The sequence below is a fragment of the Homo sapiens genome, chromosome Y (genome assembly GCF_000001405.40).
Source record: "Homo sapiens chromosome Y, GRCh38.p14 Primary Assembly".
NCBI lineage: Eukaryota > Metazoa > Chordata > Mammalia > Primates > Hominidae > Homo > Homo sapiens.
In genome coordinates, this window is record NC_000024.10 from 9498844 (window position 1) to 9525585 (window position 26742).

At 45.3% G+C, this 26742-nt stretch overlaps 2 long non-coding RNA genes and 1 pseudogene across 2 annotated transcripts; 1 reads left to right on the top strand and 2 right to left on the bottom strand.

Moving 5' to 3' along the window:
* Positions 1 to 497: 497 nt before the first annotated feature.
* Positions 498 to 6098, bottom strand: FAM197Y3 (family with sequence similarity 197 Y-linked member 3). The gene is made up of 4 exons (NR_145461.1): positions 5997 to 6098; positions 5765 to 5910; positions 4108 to 4266; positions 498 to 557 (listed from the first exon to the last, which is right to left on the bottom strand). It is a non-coding gene; the product is annotated as a family with sequence similarity 197 Y-linked member 3 (long non-coding RNA).
* Positions 8707 to 11520, top strand: TSPY6P (testis specific protein Y-linked 6, pseudogene; annotated as a pseudogene).
* Positions 20823 to 26514, bottom strand: FAM197Y2 (family with sequence similarity 197 Y-linked member 2). Its single transcript, NR_001553.2, has 4 exons — positions 26324 to 26514; positions 26092 to 26237; positions 24433 to 24591; positions 20823 to 20882 (listed from the first exon to the last, which is right to left on the bottom strand). It is a non-coding gene; the product is annotated as a family with sequence similarity 197 Y-linked member 2 (long non-coding RNA).
* Positions 26515 to 26742: the final 228 nt, after the last annotated feature.

The following is a 26742-nucleotide window of genomic DNA, read 5'->3' on the forward strand; positions in this document are numbered from 1 at the left end:
GGTTGGTGGGTCACTTGAGGTCAGGAGTTGGAGACCAGCATGGGCAACATGGCAAAAAGCTGTCTCTACCAAAAATACAAAAATTAGCCAGACCTAGTGGCACTTTCCTGTGGTCCCAGCTACTTGGGAGGCTGAGGTAGGAGAACCACCTGAACATGGGTGGCAGAGATTGTATAGTAAGCCGAGATCAGACTACTGCACTCCAGCCTGGATGACACAGCGAGACCATGAAAAAAAAAATAAAGGCAACTCCACTCGTCCACTGGCTTAGGTAAAAAATACTGGAGTTGGCTGGGCTCGGTGGCTCACACCTGTATTCCCAGCACTTTGGATTTTGGGAAGCTGAGTCGGGCGGGTCACCTGAGATCTGTAGTAGGAGAGCAGCCTGGCCAACATGGTGAAGCCTGGCTTCTACTAAAAATACAAAACATTAGCTGAGCGTGGTGATGCATGCTTGTAATCCCAGCTACTGCAGAGGCTGAACCTGGGAGGCGGAGGATGTGTTGAGCTGAGATCCTGCCACTGCGCTCCAGCCTGGTCTACAGAGCGAGAGTACCCTGTGAGAAACAAAGGTGAAGAGAACAAGAAAAAAAAATGAGAAAAATAAGACCCACTGCAAAAGGTTGCCACAGAAAAGATTAAACATTTCAGCAACTTCTATCTTCTATCATGGAAGCCAAGGTTATTTGGACCAAACCTCCTGTCTTAGTTCATTTTCACGCTGCTGAAGAAGAGATACCTGAAACTGGGAATAAAAGGAGGTTTAATTGGACTGACAGTTCCACATGGCTGTGGAGGCCTCAGAATCATGGTATACGAATAAAGGCACTTCTTACATGGCAATGCCAAGAGAGAATGAGGAAGAACCTGAGGCAGAAACCCCTGAAAAACCCATCAGATCCCGTGAGACTTCTTCACTGTCACAAGAATAGCATGAGAAAGACCGACCCCCATGATTCAATTACCTCCCCCTGGGTCCCACCCGCAACACGAGGGAATTCTGGGAGATACAATTGAAGCTGAGATTTGAATGGAGACACACCAAACCATGTCACTTCCCAAACAATTAAAAATTCCCAATAGAAGAAGCATTAATTATATCAAAAAGTGGTGGACCAAGAAGGAACTATTAGCCTCATATCTCAAGAAAGACTCCAGTCAAGGCCTAGGGACTACTCATGAAAAGAGTTTAATAGCCGACTCTCTCCCAGTGGATCTGGATTCCACCGGACTGTATCTTCACAGTAAGGGTGAAACAGAAGCAAACCCATTCCTATTTCCAAGCTCAAGGAACTTTGGTCAAAGTTCTCTTGGAGCTGAGCAGAACAAGGAGGCAAACAGAAAAGATTTGTGTCCCTGAGAAGTCATGGCCACAGGCTGGCTATCACACAGATTGTCAAGCCAGTTCCATATTGCATGGGTATTACAGAAAATCTCAAAACATAAATTTGTGTGTGGGTTGTCCCAGAGTAGCAGGATCTGGCAGAAGGAAATTTCCTTCTAACCCTCAAAGAATCCACATAAATCTTGTTACATTTGGGATTTTACGATTTGCTTCAGGAATGAGAATGGCCTTAATTTTCATATCTTTTTCTACACTCAGTTTATGTCTTGTTGGCGTCAAAGTTCTGCTTGCTTCACACAATGAGTTTAGGATTTTCCCTTTTTTATTCTATAGAATTCTTCATATATATTGAAATGCTCTGCCTGGGGAAAAAAATCTGAGCCTAGCGTTTTATCTCTAGGAAGAATCCTTTATTTCCTTGGACATTTATGAGACTATACAGATTATATATGTCTTCTTGTATCAATTTTACTAAGCTATATACATAGCTTATGTTTATATATTATATATATAAATGTAAGATACAAATATAAAAATTATGTATAAATATGAAAATATATATAGAAAGCGATATATATGTCTATATATAGAGACAGATTATAAATATCTGTCTATTTGATCTAAGTTTTCAAATTTGTAGGTTAAGGTGTTAATGATATTTCCTTATTAGCTTCTTAATCTATGCTGTATCTATGGTTGTGTACCTTTTAAATTCTTAGTTTTATCTATGTTTTCTCCCTTTTTTTCTAAACTTGACTGACGGTTGCATCATTTATTATATTTCTCCAACAAGCAAAGGTTAGCTTTGTATGTTTTACTAATTTTGTCTACATCATTATTCCCACACTTTAGTTTTTCAGAATTGATTCTGTTGTTTCTTTTCTAATTCTTTATTGAAATATCTAGTACATTAATTTTCAAGTTATTAGAGAAATATTTGTCTGTAAACTCCTATTGTAATATCACTTTTCTTGCTACTCACAGATTTAATCTTTAATATTGGCGGTATCATTGAGTTCTAAGTACATTTCAATTCCTAGTATGATAATCTATGAATTGCTGAGAAATAGTGTTTACAATTTTGTTGTTCTATTTCCACTTAAGTTTATTTTTACTTCTGCTAACTCAATTGAAAATTCTTTACTAATTTTTAAAATCCTTGAACCCAAGAGATGGAGGTTGCAGTGAGCTGAGATCAGGCCACTGCATTCCAGACTGAGTGACAGAGTGGAACGAGATTTCAAAACAAAACAAAACAAAACAAAACAAAACAGTCACTGGAAAGATAATAAAATACATAAATGTGGGATGTAATATGTAATCGTGATAAAATAAACTGGATTTTTTGTATAAGTTATACATATAAATGTAATGCCAAGACACTGATAAGACAACTCATGGTCTTATCTCAATACTTAGTGTCTTCATGTAACATATGTCCTTTAGGATAGTTATAGTCCGTTTTCTTTCCAGGAGAGACAGATGAGAATGCAGAAATGTTAAAGTGCAAGGGACGGAAGCTTCCAGCTGTGCCCACCTGTAACCTGACGTAGACAGTTCCACCGTTTGCTTCATTAATCATGCCAAAGGCTCTAATGCAAATGTGGTACAGAGTCACATGTTTTTGTATCTACATGATAGAAACTATAACTTCATCCCTATATAGAAGGGTATATAGCATATGCCTCAGTGATAAATATAAGTGAATCATTGATCAGTAGGAAACCATTTTAAAAGTCTTTCATAACAGAACAAAATCCCTGAAAACATTTTCTTCTCAATCTCTGAGTTTTCTTACACGGCTTATGAATCTCTAGCCATACTAAAGAGATAGTATGCTGCTCTTCCCACAAATTATTCATTGTATATAATTCCTGTAATCTAATAACAGTACCTTTACACCTCAGGGTTTAAAATGACTCCAACCTTTTTCTGTTTCTCCAATTAAAATAACTTTTTTAAGGTTTAATCTTCAGTAATTTTTTGTAGTAATATTTTTGAAGGTATTTGACCAGGATGATTTGCTTATATACCTACCTGACGTCTCCCTTTCTTCTGAATACATATTTTATTACCCACCTATTAGATCTAAGTTTAAGAAGTTGGAATAGGGATTTAAATCTAAATTCTACATTTGAATTTACAGGAGTCAGCGAGTCCGGGAAGTGCCTTTATGCACAGACCAATATCTGGCAATGGCACTAGGAGACAAATAAGCTTTACCAGTCTCAAAGCCCTGGCTACTACAGTGAATCCACCCTTCTCCTGGATCTTATCTACTTCAGCAAAAGAAGGCCACCCACTAAACCAGGCCCTTGTACTTTGGGTGGAAACTCCTAAGTCCTCTAGTCTCCTCAAACAGACAGCCAGGCTGCCAATTTCCACAATAATAATTTCTATAGCACTGAGCCTTTGGTAGCCTTGTAACTATAGCTACTGATGCTACAGTCTGGTCCCTGTATGATAAAACACCAGAGCAACAGAAACAAAAATATTGACTGAAGCCTTCTAAAATCTCTCTAAATATACCTTCAATAAATATCGTTTTTTTTTACAGAACGACTGCTTTCAGCTTCCTGAACGAACGCTTGGCCTTCGCTAGTTGTCACTGTTGAAATTGATTCAAAAGTGTACATTTAACATGAAAGTCAACACAGAATTTCATGTGTCAGCAACTAAAATTTTCAAAATGTTGCAAAATACAAATGTGAAACTGTATTTGTGAAATTTACCATTCATTGAAATTATATTTTCATACCTACCCAGGCACAGAATTTTTTATAACTGTCTGCATGTTCTCCTCATGTGGGGGAAAAACAGCATCAGCAGGCAGAGGAATCCTTTGAAGCTGGAGGGAGAGGTTGCAGTGATCTGAGAGTTTGCCACTTGACTGCAGCCTGGATGACACAGTGAGACTCCAACTGAAAAGAAACAAACACACACACACACACACACACACACACACCCCCAAAATTGATAAGTAAAAAAAAAATCCGTATTCGAAAACATGCTCACAGGCTAACTCCCATATCTAACACACACACACACACACACACACACACACACACACACACACACAATTCCTTGAAAACGAAAGTTCCACAAGGGCGAAACAAGAAAACAAATTTAACACCCCCCAAAGAAAGTACGAAGAGTAACCTCAAAAGAACCGCAGGGGAAAACAATTCAAAATTTACAAGTATCTACCCTAAAAGAAGCTGAAAGTCCCTCAAAAACTTTCCAGAGGCCATGTCCTTGTATTACAAAAATGATCATAAAAACTGGCAGGAGTAGACGAATAGAAATGCATCTTAAAACTTGCTGAACACTTCAAGTCTCCCATAAGAATTGTAATGGAAAATGGATCAGTCGGCAGTTTTTTCCATACAATTATGAACAAATTATATTTCTTCATACATAGATTTGTTTTTTCAATATTCTAAGGAATTAACTTTTATATTAATAGTAGGTGATGTAAGAAAGCAGGCCTTTATCAAGATAACTGACACTGGATGTCCATACCATTACTCAGGTGGGCCTTAATTCCCAGCCAGGTTCCCTCCCTGGACACACACTGAAGGTCCCCAGCCATTTGGCAATCTCTTCACATTCCCAGCCCTGGAGGTAGCCCTAAAATACATGTACCTGAAGAAAATAAAACATTGCCTCACACTGGAGCCCAGTGTGGTCCTCCAGATTCCGTGTGAGGTGGACTAACTTATATGGGAAGGCAGGGCAGCGGGAGTGAGGATGGCAGAGAGGATTACACATGTCAAGGCAGCCGGGGTCATGGAAACAAAACATGACTGGCCTGGGAGAAACACTGTGAAAGGACACAGACCTAGGTGGGCCTCAGGTGGACATCCTCGTGGAGAAAAAGGGGGCCCTGGTTGATCTCAAAATGAGCCCCAGGTGGTAGCAGGTCTTACCGCAGGGCAGGGAGCTGGCGAGTAATGATGAGACAGCTATCCCTTAAGCCCTGCTTGTCACCCACTGACTTTAGCCACATATGCATCATAGTGGCTTAAGGTGCCCCGATCCTGAAATGTGGGTGTTACATGTCCCTGATGGGCCTCTCTCCCCCAACCCACGGATTGCCTGGGATTGCTCACTGCAGTCTCCTCCCGGATCCTTGGGTTCTCCATGTGGGGCCCAGATCCAGGTCAAAAGGCCTCTCAGTTCCCAGCCCTTCCCAGCCCTAGGCTGCTCGCCTGGCCTCCTCTCTGTTCCGCCTCTAGGGCTGACCCTCTCTCCATGGGATAGAACTGCAATGGATTGAGCCATAGGCCCTGGCTGATGATCTAGGGGACTGCAGAAGTGGGTCCAGGACAGTTCAGGTGACAGTTCAAAGCCAATTCCCCAGAGACCAAGGAATGACCAGCTAGGTCCTTTCCCATGATGCCCCATGGCGAACCCCACCTCAGCAATCCTGCCAAAACCCGGGCAGTCATGTTCAGCCAAACAGCTGAATGAGCTCAGGTAGGAGGTGTACTGCCTGCAGCTGGAGGCTTGACCTTCGTGATCCCAGAACCGCTGGACTGCAGTGGAATGAGACACCCTGTAGCCTGCAGGGAGAGGAGTCAGGAAGGTTCATGCCAGTCCCACCCTCCCACACACCAGCTCCCCTACCATGCTGGGAGGCATTCCTTACCGAGGATGCCAACACAGTGCTCCTTCATGATGATTTCACTGTGGAAATAAAGGTTGGGATGAAAGGAAATCATCCTGCCACCGGTAACCGGGATGGCTGAGTTCCTCCACCTGCCGGATCAAGGAGAAAGAGGATGGATTCAATGGGACCATCTCAACTAGCTGGGCTGAGGTGGCCTACTAGCTGTAGTGAACCATGAGTTTCCCCTTCCCAGCTCTCCCACTGAGACAACCCTGGTCCCCAGGGGGACCTCAAACTGACTCAGACACTGGACTCCTCCCACAGACCCAGCTCCCCAGCCTGACCTGCAAATCCATCACGTAGCAAAGCAGGACTTCCGCATGCTTTCCGACCCACGCCGACATCTCGTGTGCCAAACAATCTACCTCTGCGCAAGAACTCTCCAGAGGATTGGGTGGCAAGCCTCGTGACGCCTTGCAATTTCGCAAGAACACAGACAATGTGGAACAGGGCCATCTCCCAGACATTTGGCCAGTCACCCTTCATTGTTGGCCCTCTATCTCTGTCTGGCGAGGAGCAACGCCACAACTGTGGTGGTTTTTGGAGTGGGTGGACCCCGGCCAAGACGGCCTGGGCTGACCAGAGACGGGAGGCAGAAAAAGTGGGCAGGTGGTTGCAGCTGAGGGACGGGAGGGACCGGGGGTGGTGTGAGGCGGCTGCTTCTCTGAGTTTCTGAGATGCAGGAGGCCTTTGTGTGCTGGGTGCTGGACATGCTCCGCTGATGTCCGGGTGTGTGGTGTCCTCTTATCCTAGTCTCCCTGAGGGGTGGGCCTGTCCACCTGAGGGAAGCCTTGTAGTTAGAAGCCACAGCAGGGTCGTGCCTGGCGCTCTCCAAGGGAATTGCGTGGGTCCAGAGGAAGTTATACAGGCTCAGGGCCTACACGCCTTTGAGTGCAGCGCCTGCAGTTGGATGAATGCGCATCTGCGGAGCTGGTGCCCGCCGTCAGGTGGTCGGCAGCCCCATGCGCCGCGAACCCGTCTTAAGCACCTTGTGTTTCTGGGGTGAGCCTGCTGGAAACAGGCACCGAGAGCAGGGGTGGTTCAATGGCTGGTAATGGCATACAGATTCCCCGTCCTCCAGGGACGTTCCCAGGGAAACGCGTCCTTCGAATTTGGGCTGTGCGCAAAGGGACCTTGGCGCCGCGATTCTCCCTTGTCAGTGCTGGCCCTGGCTCCCCTTCCCTACCACGTGCTCCCAGGGCTGCTACAAGCGAGCTGCCCTCACAGCTGCGGGAACGTGGCCTCGGCTCCCACGCTGTCCCCCATCCCCTGCCTCCTGGCTGACCCCACGTGCCTCCCACCTGGCTCCTCCCCCCAAACAGCCCCCATACCCCCCGAGGCCCGATGACTATCCCCTGCTGCCCGCCATCCCAAATCGGCAGCCGCAAGGATATGGCTCTGGCTCACAAGGCGGAGATGCTCTGTGGCCTGGGGCATTCACGGAGCCCAGCTCCAAGTGAAGGACCTCCAGCGAGTCCATTGACGGCCCCGGTGTGCTCGGTCCAGGGCCAGGCTGTGCCGCTGGCCCTCCTTCTGCCACCCCACGTCGGGCTCCACCTCAACCACCACCTCCACCTCAGCCATGATGTCTTCCACCTTCAGCACCGCCTCCTCTTCCAAGGCCGCCTCCTTGCTCTGTACCCCGGCCGTCCTCTCCAGCATTGCCTCCAGCCTGAACACGGTTTTCTCCTGGGTGCTCCCACAGACCCTGGGCCTGCGCAGCCCAGCCCAGCCCAGCCCATGCCCCGCACCCGTAGGCTCTGGGGGCCCGCTCCCCAGCAGACCCGCTCCCTGCAAGACCCACGGGCGTCGCCCTGCTGTGAACCTGGTCCCACACCTACGTGGACCCAGGTTTCCTGAGGAGCTCCGCTGGACCCGCAGATCCCGCACTGGCCAAAGGGCTCCGGTCCCCAGCAGGCCCAACTGCGCACAGGAGCTCGGGAGCCAGAGGCCCCGGCCCTGGGCTTGCAGAGCCCCACCAACAGGCACCGCAACCGCTGCTGCGGGTGCGGGAGCCTCTGGGTCGTCAAGGCAGCGCACAACAGCGTGCGCGCAGGCCGACAATGGCCAACCCTGGCGGCTGGCCTCTGGTGTGCCCAGGGCATAGGGCAAGAGGCCCTTTGGAATGCTCCTTGGAGTACAGCATCCTCAGGGAGGAAGCATGGTACTCGGAGCCTCTATTTGCCTCGACCTGTGAGAGTGTGTGCCGGGGCTCTGGCCTCTACAGCAGATCAATTCCACCTCAGCACCGGCAGGCGACTTTCCTCCCACGTGCCCGCCCCGATCACTTCCCCCAGGACACCCCTGCCGCCCTAGCCCCAGCAACCAGAGAGAGTTCTCTGCATCTGCTGTATTACCTCCGTACCATCTACCTGGCCTGCCTAACGAAGAGAGATGTTTCCTGTGTTCATGACACATAGAGATGTTCATGGCTTGCCACACTGAGGATTTCAGGGCACAGGGCTGCCATGCCCACAATTCCAAAGGCCACGCAGCCCGCGTGTGCCCGGATGCCTAGCTACCCGGCACAAGCTCCAAGGGCTTCTCGGAGGAGGCTTGGGCAGGGAAGGCGGGGGGTGGGGGGGCTGGAGATGCAGGCCCGCCAGTGGCTGTGCCGCCCAGGGAGACGCCCACCGCCCTCCCATTGACTGGCCACGACGGGAGGAAGTCGGCCTGGGTGCGGCCCCCCGGCCCTTCGCGCGCAGTCCCTTAGGGGGCGCCTGGAAGCCCGGCGCATGCGCCCTGAGGGCTCGCTGACCTACCGGGTGCCAGAGAGGCTGCGGCAGGGTTTCTGTGGCGTGGGTCGGGCAGCACAGGCCTTGGTGTGTGCGAGTGCCAAGGAGGGCACCGCCTTCAGGATGGAGGCTGTACAGGAGGGGGCGGCCGGGGTGGAGAGTGAGCAGGCGGCTTTGGGGGAGGAGGCGGTGCTGCTGTTGGATGACATAATGGCGGAGGTGGAGGTGGTGGCGGAGGTGGAGGTGGTGGCGGAGGAGGAGGGCCTCGTGGAGCGGCGGGAGGAGGCCCAGCGCGACAGCAGGCTGTGCCTGGCCCTGGGCCCATGACCCCAGAGTCTGCACTGGAGGAGCTGCTGGCCGTTCAGGTGGAGCTGGAGCCGGTTAATGCCCAAGCCAGGAAGGCCTTTTCTCGGCAGCGGGAAAAGATGGAGCGGAGGCGCAAGCCCCAGCTAGACCGCAGAGGCGCCGTCATCCAGAGCGTCCCTGGCTTCTGGGCCAATGTTGTATCCTTCTCAGTGTTTCTTCGGCCTTTCTAGTGGAGAGGTGCTCTCGGGGAAGTGTAAGTGACCGATGGGCAGCTCGGCGTCGATGTGACTCTTTGGGGAACAAAGGGGAGTTGCCACGGACCAGTGTGGCTGTGGAAAGCCGGAGCAGGCGTGGGTACTATTGTCCTGCATGCGGCAGAGAAACCCTTGGTGATGCCGAGCAGCAGACGTTTGGGGCATCTTTTTGAAGAGCAGAAGCGAGTTCAGAGCGGAAGAGGTTTTTCAGTGAATGAAGCTATTTTTAAGGGAGTGTGATTGCTGCCCCTTGCTAGTCCGATCTGGGACTGGGCGTCTTCGGCTATAAGCAGATTCTGCCACTCCTCAGACACCAGCAAGTCTCTGCAAATCGCGCCTCCCCATGTCAGTGCAGTCAGCCTCAGAATCATACACCCTCTGTGAACACAGGAGGCCTTAGTTTACGGGGACGGGGAGGCGAAAGGAGATCATACATGGAAGCAGATCTGAGAAATCCCCTACCCCAGCCTCTGGGTGCTCTTAGGCCTTCTTCCCTGTTGCTCCTCGCTTTCCCTTCCATCGTGTGTAAAGTCTCTTTGACCTAAATCAGATTGCAAACCACCCCCAGATGTCAGCCCTGATCACTGACGAAGATGAAGACATGCTGAGCTACATGGTCAGCCTGGAGGTGAGGCCAGGAAGACTGGGGCTAGAGGGTTTAGCGGGGGAGGGTAAGGGAAATAATTCATTCCTGTAAGCAAGAGTGAGCACCTCACCCGAAAACCTATCTAAGCTTTCTCCACCTTGTCCTGACAGGTGGAAGAAGAGAAGCATCCTGTTCATCTCTGCAAGATCATGTTGTTCTTTCGGAGTAACCCCTACTTCCAGAATAAAGTGATTACCAAGGAATATCTGGTGAACATCACAGGTGACAGGTGGCTCCCAGGATGGGTAGTGGAAGGAAGATGGTGGGTGGATCATTGCCAACGGGATCCAGCCCCCTTCCCACAAAAACTCCTGTCTCTGTAGAATACAGGGCTTCTCATTCCACTCCAATTGAGTGGTATCCGGATTATGAAGTGGAGGCCTATCGCCGCAGACACCACAACAGCAGCCTTAACTTCTTCAACTGGTTCTCTGACCACAACTTCGCAGGATCTAACAAGATTGCTGAGGTGAGTCCTCACTGGGAAACATGAGGAATGACCCCGTGTGTTCCCAGCTGCTTGGGTCACCTTTCTGAGCCCTGATGAGGCCTTTCCCGATTGAGTCCCCTGACAGATCCTATGTAAGGACCTGTGGCGCAATCCCCTGCAATACTACAAGAGGATGAAGCCACCTGAAGAGGGAACAGAGACGTCAGGTGAGCCGTTAGTTGGCACTGGAGCTGTTTGATGCCCAGTATAAGGGGGTTGACACACCTGCCTATTCAGGGAGCCTGGGTGCTCATTTCAGAAATGTAGAAATTGAGGCTCCTTTCGTACATGTAGAAATTCCTTGAGAGGAAGACAGAGAGTGACAGAATCCAGGACGTTCATGGCATTGGGCTGAAAAGGCACGTTAGAGACTGCACTGCAAAGCGGGTGATAGCTGTGGAGTCTTAAGCCCAGTGAAGAATCGTCCATTTCCAGAATCAATGAGAAGTAAAGCTGAAAATCATTCAGTTCAGTCTGTGGCACTTGATTCCACGGCTGTCAACCCCACCGGCAGTCATCCCACCAACCCCATGAGATTGGGCTCCCTGAATGTGCGTCCTGGTCATCCTTGCCCCAAACCACAAAGGACTGTTTAGATTGATGGATTTCCTTAAGCTGTTGCCCCATCAGACTTGTGTGTGCTTTTAGGGCCCAGTGCATCTTGTTAGCTGACTCCCCTCACAGACAATACTGGGAATGGGGCAGGGATTGCGCAGAACAGTTTGTAACACGTGGTAGGAGGAAGTTTAAGGGATCACAAATGGGGAAGGGATATCCTTTTCTCAGCGGGCCCCACAATTGAAACATTTCAAAGTATGGCTCAGAGAAAATGCGTTTTAACATGAGTTTGTGTTTCTCTAGGGGACTCCCAGTTGTTGAGTTGAATATGATGGAGCATCAGATTTTACCTAATACAGCAGAACTCCTAAAAAGTTACAGCCATATGCAGGACGGCAGTACTCAGCATGGTCTTATGCACAGGAACTAAAGGAAAAAGAGATCGAGTCACAAAAATTCAGGAAGAGGGGGTAAATGTGGATTGTATGGAATGAAAAATAAACATTCTCAAGGATGTGTGACTCTGTGTCTGTGTGTGTGTGTGTGTCTTTGTGTTTGTGTGTGTGTGTGTCTGTGTGTGTATGTTTATCCACTTTATTCGGGTGTCATAATGAATTGATCAATCCACGTGCTTTATTCTCTTCATGGAAATAACCAGTCTGCGTTGGAGCTGGGCCTCTAAAGTTGTAGAGTGAATGGGTGTGGGATGTGTTGGGATTCTTCCTACAGGACAGAGTGGGAGAGGTAAAAGCAAAAGACAGCTTAGTTGGAGGCTGACTTCGTCCTATGGAAGCAGAGATAGTTCAAGGAAAGGGGTTACTGGGTTTCCAGGGCCCAGTTTGCTGGGACCTCCAAAATCCTTCATTTTGGGTATCATCATACACAGTAGCTAAGCACAGGATGATGGAAATCTTAAAGTTCGCTTTCGTGTTGAATCCACATGTTCTTTTAAAGGTGAATGCATGATCCTTTTCTGGGACAATCAGCCTCTCAGGACTTCTGAAACATCAACGTGAGAAGAAATGGGCATGTAAGGTGTATGGAGGGACTGTGGGAAAGGTGACAGAGGCATGTGGGAAGGCATTCAGGATACGCTTTTGGCAGAGATGACTAAGGGAAAACAGAAACTTACAGAAGTGAGGGGAAAGGGGGTGGATTAGTGGAATATAAGATTGTTGGAGAATCCATCCATGGACTCTCTTGTCACTTGATGACCCAGGATATGGACACTCTTGTTGATGTTTACATCTTTAGTTGTTTTAAGCTTTTCTCCAAGATTCTGTGTTAGGTGAGGAGCCAATAACGTATGTAGCTAACAACAGTACGAGTGCATTTTGTGCTCTTGCAAAGTCTAGTGAGGCTCTATTCTCCCTCGTGATTGGCACTGCAGATTGTATCTGGACCCAGGGCCCCTAAATTTTCTGTGGCCTCTTCAGCATAGTTTGCCTAAGGTTTAGAACGTAAAGCGAATATAGTTGCGGAATATGTTTTGCAAGCCTCACACAGGAGGACAAAACATACAGCTTTCATTCGCGAGTGGGAGGCTGCTTCCCAGGAACACGTGTGTCTGCACAAGACAAGGGGTTGCCTCTGTCAAGGATGGGGCAGGAGGATTTCAGTGTCGGAGGCAGAACTTTCTTTCCTGTTCCCAGATGAAACAGTTCCAACACGAGCATCCATGTTGACCACACGCTACTAGAGTGCTAACATTGCTGTCCCGTATAGACTCTGGTCAGCACAGCTTCTGTGAGAAGAGCTATGTTGTTTCAGGGAAGAGGGTTTGACAGTCAAAGTTCCTGAATCTGTTGTGGTGCTTGCAATATGCATTCTACCCCTCCTGCTCGGTGTCAAAGCAGTTGAGCTTTGAAAATCTATCGCCCGGTTTTGTCCCTGCTCCTATGCAGACCTCTGAAGCTCTGGAGCGGGAGTCTTGTCCTCCTCTGACTACCGTCCCCCTGACCCACAAACACAGGAGAAACAGGTGTTCTAAGCAAATTATTCTGAAAACAGTCGGAACACTTTGGCCCCCTCAAGCTGCCCTCTATCCTACTGTGTGCATGTCAAAGACACTGTGGTCCAGTACGGTATCCCTATAGCGGCAATGGGGCAACAGATTGGTGTGTGCACTCTGGGCAACTCAGATTAGGAAACGTCTGGGGACTTGCCTATAACGAGGTCGTCTTAAAACGTGTTGCCCCAAATTTAAGGCATAGGAAAATGTTGAGGAAAGGGTCTTGCAATGATTTTTTCTAGGAGGTAAATAGATAAGAAAATGACCGTAAATAGATGCCAGGGCTAGTTTTGGAGCTAGCCTGTTTTAAAGTGGTGGTAGGGGAGGAGCTTTTTCCAAGGCAGGTAGCAAACCAGGAACTGTCTACGATGGATGGGCGTGCCACGGGTTGGTGCTCAGCCATATTGCCACCCCACCGAGTGAATGCAGCAGACTGGGCTTCTTGCTTGAATCCTACGTGCAATTCAGTCTAGTGATTTCACATGAGATCCCTTCTTCTGGTATTATCACAGATCGTGCTGAATTATACAGGCTGTGTAATGCTTCTTCCACTGAATATCCGTGCACGTGGGCCACAGATGCTAAGGGCACTGACAAATTTGCACCGTGCCTCAGTAACTCGGAAGCACATCTGTGATTTGTACCGACAGGGACTTGGTGTCTTTTCGTGTTTAAAGTAGCACGTGTGTGTTTGTGGTTGCATATGTTTATTTCTCTGTGCGGGTTTGTATATTTTCTCTGACTCCACCTGTGTCTCCGTGGTTCCGATATTTTTCCACACTCCCTGCGACAATTTGCACATGCCTATCTCTACAACCATTGTAGACTTTGTATCTGTGTCTTTGAACATCTGTCACTCTCTCTCCCTTCCTTTTTTCTTTTCCTTCCTTTACACCCCTCCTTTCATCCTTCCCTTGCTTCCCCACCACACTCTCTCCATCTGTATCGTCTATCTTTCTATTCTCTATCTGGGTTTACTTTCTAATTCTGAATTCAAGGGCATTGAATTGAAAAGAAGCACTCTTCGTACTTTTATGTGTTTTAACTCATTTGGGGAATTTGGCGTGGTATTATTTACAGGGTTCTCTCTGCCCTTTCTCATTGTTCTCCCCAGCCGGGGCTGTTATTATGTGAAAGCTGGTTTCCTTCATCACATCGCGTAGGCTCTAATGATGTTTCGTTTATTTTGATTCTCCTCACACTACATAGTTTTAATTTACCTAATGTGACTGTTTTTTTGTTTGTTTTCCGAGAATGGGTCTTACTCTGTCTTCTAGGTTGGACAGCAGCCCCACGATCTCAGCCCACTGCAGCCCAGGCACCACACACCCATGTGATCCTGTCAACTCAGACTCTCACACACCTGGCAGTACAGGTGCATGCCACCCCTCCAAGCTATGTATTAATTAACTAAATACTTACTTTTTGAATGTGGGTCCATGTTGCCCCAGGCTCATCTGGAACTCCTGAGTGCAGGCAATCCTCCCACCTCAGCTTATCAAAGTGCTGGGATGACAGGTGTGACCCATGGCCCTGCCATGGCTTTGTGTTTTTTGCTTTTTTCTTCCTCCTCCTCACGTCTTGTTTTGAAACATGCACTGAAGGTTTCAATTCATGGACTATAGTCTCTGTGCCTGGAATTTCTATCTTTCAACTCATCATCAGCATTCATTGGGATTTTCATATATATATATATATATATATATATATATATATATATATATACCTATATAAGAATACCTATGTACACACATATATACGTATATACATGTATATACGTATATATGCACATTTATATACGTATATACATGTATATACGTATATATATACATGTACACATATGTATTTATTTCTCAAGTTACGAAACGGCTTGCATTCTTTCCTGTGTCATGAAAAAGACTTTGCTAGAAAAGAAAAGCACTGCTTTATAATAAAATATTTTATTTGCATTTATTTTGTTAAGGCATTTTAAAAATTGTATGTTTGTTTAAAAAATGTCATATGAAATGATACATATTTACAACTTAAGGCGTGATGTTCAACAGGTCATATACATTATGCATTGGATACATCCAGCCAATCAACATATGTGTGACCTCACATAGTTGTCATTTTTGTTGTGAAAAAACTTGACCTGCACTGTATTCGAATATTTTTAGAGAAAGAATATGTTACCACTAGTTATAGTGAGCATGCTGAAGAAAATATTTTTAACCTATTCCTCCTTTATAACTAGAAGTATGAGTTCTTCATCCAGCATCTCGTCAGTGCACCCTCTTCACCGCAGTCATTGGAGTCACTACTTCTGTGAAGTCCGCTTTTTTGATTTCATATAAGAATGAGATCATGTGCTACTTTCCTTTCTGATACCTGGCTTATGTCACTTAACAGAATGGCATGCACACATTCAGCAGATTCCCACACATTCTCACAACTGGCAGGATTTCCTGATTTCTTATTGCAGCGCATATTTCCGTTGCGCATATGCGTTTTTGCCCCATTTTTTAATCCACTTATCAATGGAGGGACTCTCAGGTTGCTTCCGCATTTTGGCTACAGCAAAAATGTAATGAGTGCAGCAATAATTGCATGGGTGCGCGCACCGCTTCAACATACTGATCTGTGTACTGGCGGGCGTGCCCGGGTATTCTGATTTGCTGGATCATATAGTGGGTGGTTCTACTTGTAGATTTCTGAAGGCTGTTTATACTTAAATAAGAGCCATAAAGCTTCTTTAATGCCAGCACTAATTTACATTCTCCCCAAAAGTGAGCAGGGAATTCGTTTTCTCTGCCTCCTCACCAGAGATTAGGGTTTTCTTTTCTTTCTTTTTTTTTTTTTGTTTGTTTGTCTTTCGGATAATATGCATTCTGACTGAAGTGAGAAGAAATCTCATTGTGTTTTTGATTTGCATTTTCGTGATGGATTGGGGATAATGAGGAATTTTTAGTGTGTCTTCTGGGCAACTGTATGTCTCAGTTTCACAAATGAGTCTTCGCAGCCTTCGCCCATTTGTTTTCATGCTATTGAGTTGTTGGGAGTTCCTTATGTACTGTGACTATTCCCCCATGAACAGATGTATGGTGATCCAATCATTGCTCCCATCCTGTAGGATGCCCCTTCTGTATGTTGAGTTTTCTATGGTGTGGTGAAGCACTTTAGTTTGATATGATTCCATTCTCTATTTTTGATGGTGTTTACTGTGTTCTTGCAGTCACTTTGAGACCATCATTGCACACACGGACGCCATGGAGCTTCTTCCTTGTGATCTCTTCTGCTATTTTTATCGTTTCACATCTGACACTGGAGTTTGGTGATAAATAATCCACTTGTAAAATCCTTTGTGTGGCTATTCAGATTTCCCCAACCTAGTTTATAGAAGATACTTGATTTTGCATTGGGCGTTCTTGCTTCTTTGGGAAAAGGCTGTGAGCTGCAAATGCAGTGACTTAGTTCTGGGCTCCTGTTGTTTTTCCTAAGCTCTAGTCTCTGCTTTTCTGCCAGTGCTATTGTATTTTGGTACAAAAAGTTTTGTAGTAGTATATCATGAAGTTAGGTAGTGGGGTGGCTCCAGCTTTGTGCTTTTTACTGGATTGCTCTGGGTTTTCAGGATCTTCTGCCATTTCATAGCAAATTTGGGATTCCCAGATTGTTTTCTAAGAAGAATGTGTCATTGATATTTTTAAAGGGGTTGTATAGAATCTGAGGATGACTCAGGTAGTAGTGATGTCAATGCCGTTTAGACAATGTGCGTGTTTGTGTGCACATGCTCAGGGCCAAGAGACACTGGGTGTCCTCACCAATACTGAGGTGGGCCTTAATATCCAGCCAGATTGCCTTCTGGAAACACACGGAATGTCCTGTTCTGTTTTGCCATCTCTTCACATTTCCTCCCCTGTGAGCCCTGTGTGGTCCTCCAGATTCCCTGTGCGGTGGCCTGCCTTTTTTGGGGTGGGGAGTTGCTGGGTGAATGAGGATGGCGGAGGGAACCAAGCATGTCAGTGGAGCGTGGTGTCATCCAAACGGTACTTAGCAGGCCTGGGAGAGTCATTCTGGGAGGACGCAGACCTAGAGAGGCCTCAGGTGGGCATCTGTGTGGAGGGTGAGAGATCCCTGGTTGAGCCCAAACTGAACCCCAGGTAGAAGCAAGCCTCAGGACAGGGAAGTAGCTAGCAAGGGATGATGAGGCAGCTATCTCTTGACCCTGGCTTCCCACCCATTGACCTTAGCTACTTATGCCTATTAAGCAGATTACGGTTCCCCCATCGTGAAATGTGGGTACCACAGTTCCCTGATGGGCATTTCTCCACCAGCCCATGATGGCCTGAGTTTCCTTACTGCAGTCTCCTCCCTGAGCCTTGGCTTCTCTATGTGTGTCCTAACTCCAGGACCCACAGGCCTGTCAACCCCCAGCCCTGGGCTGCTTCCCTGGCCTCTTCTCTGTTCCCTCTCTGAGGGCCTAACTCCCTTGGGTAGTGCTGCAGAATATAGAGCCACAGGCCCTGGCTGATGATCTGGTGGACTGGGCAAATTGGTCGTGACAGGTCAGGTTCTGGTTCAAAGCCAATTCCTCCGATGCCAAGGAATGTCGAAGAAGGTCCTTTGCCATGATGTCCCATAGCTGTCCCACCTCAGCAATCGTGCCGTAACCTGGGCCCTCACAGTCAGACAACCAGCTGAAGAAGCTCAGGCAGTGACCTGCGGGAAACTCGGGCTTTCACCTGCATGACCCTAGAACCACTGGACTGCAGTGGAGCCAGTCGCCCTGTATCCTGGAGGGAGACGAGTCAGGAAGGCGCACGCCAGGCCCAGCTCCCGAGGTACTACCCCCTCTACTCCTCAGGGAGGATGCCAACGCAATACTCCTTAGTCATCACTTTGTTTCCGAAGTAAATGTTGTGATGAAAGGCAAACTTCTTCCTACCCCTTGTATTCAGGGTGGCCGAGTTCCTCCACCTGCCTGTCCAAGAAGGAGAAACAGGGCTGTGAAGGGGCAATTTCATCTAGGTGGGCTGAGGTGGCACTCTAGCCGGGGTGAAGCATGCGTTTCCCCTTCCCAGCTTTCCCGCTGAGACACACCTGAGCCCCAGAAGGACCTCAACCTGACCAGGACCTTAGCACCCTCCCCCAGACCCAGGCTTTCCATCCTGACCTGCAAATCCAACATGCAGCTTTGAAGGACTTTCTCATGGTTTCTGAGCTCCTTGCTCTCACCAGAAAGAATCAGAACTTTTAAAGTGTTCTTTATGCCAACTTAAATTTTTCATTTTTACTACCTCATGTTTTGGATGAGGCATGTATTTTTAAATTTATTTTCACCCTTATTGTACCTCTATGATAAACTGCTTGCTTACATTCATACCGTAATTATCTCTCAGGTTACTTGTCTGTTCCTAAAGATTCACTGAAACGAAGAATTCTATATATGCTTGTATCTTTCAGCAACCGTATGTCAGATAGCACTGCACATTACTGCAGACATCGCATATACAGGTCCAAAGGTAGAGGAAGAAGAAGAAAGCAAGCGTTAAACTCTATTCATTCCTAAAAGCATATCAGAAACTCACAAATAACAGTGAAATCAAAGAATGATCACAGCCAATTCCATTACATACCTAGACTGAAATACGAAACTTCAAAGAAAAGAAACATTAGAACTTTGGGTTTGTAAAAATTTTCCTATATAGATAAAATTATTGGTAACTGTGTCTCACTAGAAAACGTAAACAAAAGTCCATGTTTTTCATATTTGTAAATATACATAGTTTTATTTCCATCAGTTATGACATGCAAGCAAGTAATAAAGTGAAAGTACAATCAAATGATATATGGAACTTCCTCAGTCTTAAAATATTCCATGGAGACTATCAATTTTATGAAAACTATAAAGAATGCTTCATGAAACTACATTGTACAGTGCCATTTACTATTTTACTGACATTTTAAATAATCAACAATTAAAGGGAATACATCAACATTATTTAATACCAATAACGTTATTTTTCTTGAGTAATCCTGTTGAAATTAAGGATTTTAAATAAAACATTAAAAACAAATTATATTGACTGATTTCAGCTTTGGATGAAATCATACTTGTGTATTTGTAGTAATGCGAAGCATAACTTTCTCCTCACAATTAATCTTTTATAACATCGGTGTTATAGTTTTCTCTGACACCAACATTGTGATATCGCACAGGTTTACTGCATGCATGCATTACATGCCTCCAGAGAGTAGGCTTCAAATATATGGAAAAATTATATTTATGAAAAAATTCTAGGAAAGGGAATGGTGAAATGGAAGAGAATTTCTCACTTGCTAACTGTTGGACATGGATTTGTATATATTTGGATATAGACACATACTGGCACACTGTGAGTTTGCCCATGTATATATACACTTATATGAGAAACCCATAATATATGGGTTGTGTAATCTTTTAATTAATCCATAATTGTATGTGTGTGAAATTAGATAAGCGGTTACCTTTTCTTTACTCAACTTGATGGAAAGCCAAAAAACTCTGTCCACCTTCATTTCAATTAATCCAATACTGTTAACTGCTGGTAGCTTCATTCTCCTTGTTCTCTTACGGCAACCGGAAAGTTAATTCTCGCTCTAATTTGGCTTTCAAGGTGCGATCAACAAGAGTGTCACCTTGCTGTGGATTGTGACCTCTGACTCCACCTCTGTCTTCCTTTTGCAGTCCTACCTTTGCATAGGTAACAAACTTTGTACATGGTTAAAAGGATAAAAGTTCAGTGAAATGTCAAGCCATGCTGTGAAATGTTCCATAGTTTCTATATCTCTAATTGTCCTTTGATGTTATAGAGGCAAGAAAAATAATTCAATGTTTTTCTTAGTATCTAGTCCAATGCACTCTTTCTTCATAATACTGCAAACAAGGCACTGACATGGAAACGTGGCTGGACGTCTCAAAATCTCTTCTCATTAATTACCATTATGTTAATCACTGTTGCCCACAACTGGAATTGGACTTTGAAATCCCCTGGTGGAAATTGCTATAATGGCTCAAACTACTGGAAAGACTATCTTTTTTTTACCTGAAAATATCTGATGAGCATAGACGTATGCTATATACAGGAACATATTGTACATTAACAACATACCATCACTGCCACTCAATAATAGGTATCCCAAACCTTTGAGCCAAACTGAGCTCGGGTGCTCCCACAAAGCAAGCTTTTCCCTCCACAGATTTCTTATGTCAAAAAGCCACAACTCCAGGCCAGGCTTCGTGGCTCTTGTTGTAATTTCTACATTTTGGGAGGCCGAGGTTGGTGGGTCACTTGAGGTCAGGAGTTGGAGACCAGCATGGGCAACATGGCAAAAAGCTGTCTCTACCAAAAATACAAAAATTAGCCAGACCTAGTGGCACTTTCCTGTGGTCCCAGCTACTTGGGAGGCTGAGGCAGGAGAACCACCTGAACATGGGTGGCAGAGATTGTATAGTAAGCCAAGATCAGACTACTGCACTCCAGCCTGGATGACACAGCGAGACCATGACTGAAAAAAGAAAAAAAAAAATAAAGGCAACTCCACTCGTCCACTGGCTTAGGTAAAAAGTACTGGAGTTGGCTGGGCTCGGTGGCTCACACCTGTATTCCCAGCACTTTGGATTTTGGGAAGCTGAGTCGGGCGGGTCACCTGAGATCTGTAGTAGGAGAGCAGCCTGGCCAACATGGTGAAGCCTGGCTTCTACTAAAACTACAAAACATTAGCTGAGCGTGGTGATGCATGCTTGTAATCCCAGCTACTGCAGAGGCTGAACCTGGGAGGCGGAGGATGTGTTGAGCTGAGATCCTGCCACTGCGCTCCAGCCTGGTCTACAGAGCGAGAGTACCCTGTGAGAAACAAAGGTGAAGAGAACAAGAAAAAAAAAATGAGAAAAATAAGACCCACTGCAAAAGGTTGCCACAGAAAAGATTAAACATTTCAGCAACTTCTATCTTCTGTCATGGAAGCCAAGGTTATTTGGACCAAACCTCCTGTCTTAGTTCATTTTCACGCTGCTGAAGAAGAGATACCTGAAACTGGGAATAAAAGGAGGTTTAATTGGACTGACAGTTCCACATGGCTGTGGAGGCCTCAGAATCATGGTATACGAATAAAGGCACTTCTTACATGGCAATGCCAAGAGAGAATGAGGAAGAACCTGAGGCAGAAACCCCTGAAAAACCCATCAGATCCCGTGAGACTTCTTCACTGTCACAAGAATAGCATGAGAAAGACCGACCCCCATGATTCAATTACCTCCCCCTGGGTCCCACCCGCAACACGAGGGAATTCTGGGAGATACAATTGAAGCTGAGATTTGAATGGAGACACACCAAACCATGTCACTTCCCAAACAATTAAAAATTCCCAATAGAAGAAGCATTAATTATATCAAAAAGTGGTGGACCAAGAAGGAACTATTAGCCTCATATCTCAAGAAAGACTCCAGTCAAGGCCTAGGGACTACTCATGAAAAGAGTTTAATAGCCGACTCTCTCCCAGTGGATCTGGATTCCACCGGACTGTATCTTCACAGTAAGGGTGAAACAGAAGCAAACCCATTCCTATTTCCAAGCTCAAGGAACTTTGGTCAAAGTTCTCTTGGAGCTGAGCAGAACAAGGAGGCAAACAGAAAAGATTTGTGTCCCTGAGAAGTCATGGCCACAGGCTGGCTATCACACAGATTGTCAAGCCAGTTCCATATTGCATGGGTATTACAGAAAATCTCAAAACATAAATTTGTGTGTGGGTTGTCCCAGAGTAGCAGGATCTGGCAGAAGGAAATTTCCTTCTAACCCTCAAAGAATCCACATAAATCTTGTTACATTTGGGATTTTACGATTTGCTTCAGGAATGAGAATGGCCTTAATTTTCATATCTTTTTCTACACTCAGTTTATGGCTTGTTGGCGTCAAAGTTCTGCTTGCTTCACACAATGAGTTTAGGATTTTCCCTTTTTTATTCTATAGAATTCTTCATATATATTGAAATGCTCTGCCTGGGGAAAAAAATCTGAGCCTAGCGTTTTATCTCTAGGAAGAATCCTTTATTTCCTTGAACATTTATGAGACTATACAGATTATATATGTCTTCTTGTATCAATTTTACTAAGCTATATACATAGCTTATGTTTATATATTATATATATAAATGTAAGATACAAATATAAAAATTATGTATAAATATGAAAATATATATAGAAAGCGATATATATGTCTATATATATAGACAGATTATAAATATCTGTCTATTTGATCTAAGTTTTCAAATTTGTAGGTTAAGGTGTTAATGATATTTCCTTATTAGCTTCTTAATCTATGCTGTATCTATGGTTGTGTACCTTTTAAATTCTTAGTTTTATCTATGTTTTCTCCCTTTTTTTCTAAACTTGACTGACGGTTGCATCATTTATTATATTTCTCCAACAAGCAAAGGTTAGCTTTGTATGTTTTACTAATTTTGTCTACATCATTATTCCCACACTTTAGTTTTTCAGAATTGATTCTGTTGTTTCTTTTCTAATTCTTTATTGAAATATCTAGTACATTAATTTTCAAGTTATTAGAGAAATATTTGTCTGTAAACTCCTATTGTAATATCACTTTTCTTGCTACTCACAGATTTAATCTTTAATATTGGCGGTATCATTGAGTTCTAAGTACATTTCAATTCCTAGTATGATAATCTATGAATTGCTGAGAAATAGTGTTTACAATTTTGTTGTTCTATTTCCACTTAAGTTTATTTTTACTTCTGCTAACTCAATTGAAAATTCTTTACTAATTTTTAAAATCCTTGAACCCAAGAGATGGAGGTTGCAGTGAGCTGAGATCAGGCCACTGCATTCCAGACTGAGTGACAGAGTGGAACGAGATTTCAAAACAAAACAAAACAAAACAAAACAAAACAGTCACTGGAAAGATAATAAAATACATAAATGTGGGATGTAATATGTAATCGTGATAAAATAAACTGGATTTTTTGTATAAGTTATACATATAAATGTAATGCCAAGACACTGATAAGACAACTCATGGTCTTATCTCAATACTTAGTGTCTTCATGTAACATATGTCCTTTAGGATAGTTATAGTCCGTTTTCTTTCCAGGAGAGACAGATGAGAATGCAGAAATGTTAAAGTGCAAGGGACGGAAGCTTCCAGCTGTGCCCACCTGTAACCTGACGTAGACAGTTCCACCGTTTGCTTCATTAATCATGCCAAAGGCTCTAATGCAAATGTGGTACAGAGTCACATGTTTTTGTATCTACATGATAGAAACTATAACTTCATCCCTATATAGAAGGGTATATAGCATATGCCTCAGTGATAAATATAAGTGAATCATTGATCAGTAGGAAACCATTTTAAAAGTCTTTCATAACAGAACAAAATCCCTGAAAACATTTTCTTCTCAATCTCTGAGTTTTCTTACACGGCTTATGAATCTCTAGCCATACTAAAGAGATAGTATGCTGCTCTTCCCACAAATTATTCATTGTATATAATTCCTGTAATCTAATAACAGTACCTTTACACCTCAGGGTTTAAAATGACTCCAACCTTTTTCTGTTTCTCCAATTAAAATAACTTTTTTAAGGTTTAATCTTCAGTAATTTTTTGTAGTAATATTTTTGAAGGTATTTGACCAGGATGATTTGCTTATATACCTACCTGACGTCTCCCTTTCTTCTGAATACATATTTTATTACCCACCTATTAGATCTAAGTTTAAGAAGTTGGAATAGGGATTTAAATCTAAATTCTACATTTGAATTTACAGGAGTCAGCGAGTCCGGGAAGTGCCTTTATGCACAGACCAATATCTGGCAATGGCACTAGGAGACAAATAAGCTTTACCAGTCTCAAAGCCCTGGCTACTACAGTGAATCCACCCTTCTCCTGGATCTTATCTACTTCAGCAAAAGAAGGCCACCCACTAAACCAGGCCCTTGTACTTTGGGTGGAAACTCCTAAGTCCTCTAGTCTCCTCAAACAGACAGCCAGGCTGCCAATTTCCACAATAATAATTTCTATAGCACTGAGTCTTTGGTAGCCTTGTAACTATAGCTACTGATGCTACAGTCTGGTCCCTGTATGATAAAACACCAGAGCAACAGAAACAAAAATATTGACTGAAGCCTTCTAAAATCTCTCTAAATATACCTTCAATAAATATGGTTTTTTTTACAGAACGACTGCTTTCAGCTTCCTGAACTAACGCTTGGCCTTCGCTAGTTGTCACTGTTGAAATTGATTCAAAAGTGTACCTTTAACATGAAAGTCAACACAGAATTTCATGTGTCAGCAACTAAAATTTTCAAAATGTTGCAAAATACAAATGTGAAACTGTATTTGTGAAATTTACCATTCATTGAAATTATATTTTCATACCTACCCAGGCACAGAATTTTTTATAACTGTCTGCATGTTCTCCTCATGTGGGGGAAAAGCAGCATCAGCAGGCAGAGGAATCCTTTGAAGCTGGAGGGAGAGGTTGCAGTGATCTGAGAGTTTGCCACTTGACTGCAGCCTGGATGACACAGTGAGACTCCAACTGAAAAGAAACAAACACACACACACACACACACACACACACACACACCCCCAAAATTGATAAGTAAAAAAAAAATCCATATTCGAAAACATGCTCACAGGCTATCTCCCATATCTAACACACAGACACACACACACACACACACACACAAACACACACAATTCCTTGAAAACGAAAGTTCCACAAGGGCAAAAGAAGAAAACAAATTTAACACCCCCCAAAGAAAGTACAAAGAGTAACCTCAAAAGAACCGCAGGGGAAAACAATTCAAAATTTACAAGTATCTACCCTAAAAGAAGCTGAAAGTCCCTCAAAAACTTTCCAGAGGCCATGTCCTTGTATTACAAAAATGATCATAAAAACTGGCAGGAGTAGACGAATAGAAATGCATCTTAAAACTTGCTAAACCCTTCAAGTCTCCCATAAGAATTGTAATGGAAAATGGATCGGTCGGCAGCTTTTTCCATACAATTATGAACAAATTATATTTCTTCACACATAGATTTGTTTTTTCAATATTCTAAGGAATTAACTTTTATATTAATAGTAGGTGATGTAAGAAAGCAGGCCTTTATCAAGATAACTGACACTGGATGTCCATACCATTACTCAGGTGGGCCTTAATTCCCAGCCGGGTTCCCTCCCTGGACACACACTGAAGGTCCCCAGCCATTTGGCAATCTCTTCACATTCCCAGCCCTGGAGGTAGCCCTAAAATACATGTACCTGAAGAAAATAAAACATTGCCTCACACTGGAGCCCAGTGTGGTCCTCCAGATTCCGTGTGAGGTGGACTAACTTATATGGGAAGGCAGGGCAGCGGGAGTGAGGATGGCAGAGAGGATTACACATGTCAAGGCAGCCGGGGTCATGGAAACAAAACATGACTGGCCTGGGAGAAACACTGTGAAAGGACATACACCTAGGTGGGCCTCAGGTGGACATCCTCGTGGAGAAAAAGGGGGCCCTGGTTGATCTCAAAATGAGCCCCAGGTGGTAGCAGGTCTTACCGCAGGGCAGGGAGCTGGCGAGTAATGATGAGACAGCTATCCCTTAAGCCCTGCTTGTCACCCACTGACTTTAGCCACATATGCATCATAGTGGCTTAAGGTGCCCCGATCCTGAAATGTGGGTGTTACATGTCCCTGATGGGCCTCTCTCCCCCAACCCACGGATTGCCTGGGATTGCTCACTGCAGTCTCCTCCCGGATCCTTGGGTTCTCCATGTGGGGCCCAGATCCAGGTCAAAAGGCCTCTCAGTTCCCAGCCCTTCCCAGCCCTAGGCTGCTCGCCTGGCCTCCTCTCTGTTCCGCCTCTAGGGCTGACCCTCTCTCCATGGGATAGAACTGCAATGGATTGAGCCATAGGCCCTGGCTGATGATCTAGGGGACTGCAGAAGTGGGTCCAGGACAGTTCAGGTGACAGTTCAAAGCCAATTCCCCAGAGACCAAGGAATGACCAGCTAGGTCCTTTCCCATGATGCCCCACGGCGAACCCCACCTCAGCAATCCTGCCAAAACCCGGGCAGTCATGTTCAGCCAAACAGCTGAATGAGCTCAGGTAGGAGGTGTACTGCCTGCAGCTGGAGGCTTGACCTTCGTGATCCCAGAACCGCTGGACTGCAGTGGAATGAGACACCCTGTAGCCTGCAGGGAGAGGAGTCAGGAAGGTTCATGCCAGTCCCACCCTCCCACACACCAGCTCCCCTACCATGCTGGGAGGCATTCCTTACCGAGGATGCCAACACAGTGCTCCTTCATGATGATTTCACTGTGGAAATAAAGGTTGGGATGAAAGGAAATCATCCTGCCACCGGTAACCGGGATGGCTGAGTTCCTCCACCTGCCGGATCAAGGAGAAAGAGGATGGATTCAATGGGACCATCTCAACTAGCCGGGCTGAGGTGGCCTACTAGCTGTAGTGAACCATGAGTTTCCCCTTCCCAGCTCTCCCACTGAGACAACCCTGGTCCCCAGGGGGACCTCAAACTGACTCAGACACTGGACTCCTCCCACAGACCCAGGCTCCCCAGCCTGACCTGCAAATCCATCACGTAGCAAAGCAGGACTTCCGCATGCTTTCCGACCCACGCCGACATCTCGTGTGCCAAACAATCTACCTCTGCGCAAGAACTCTCCAGAGGATTGGGTG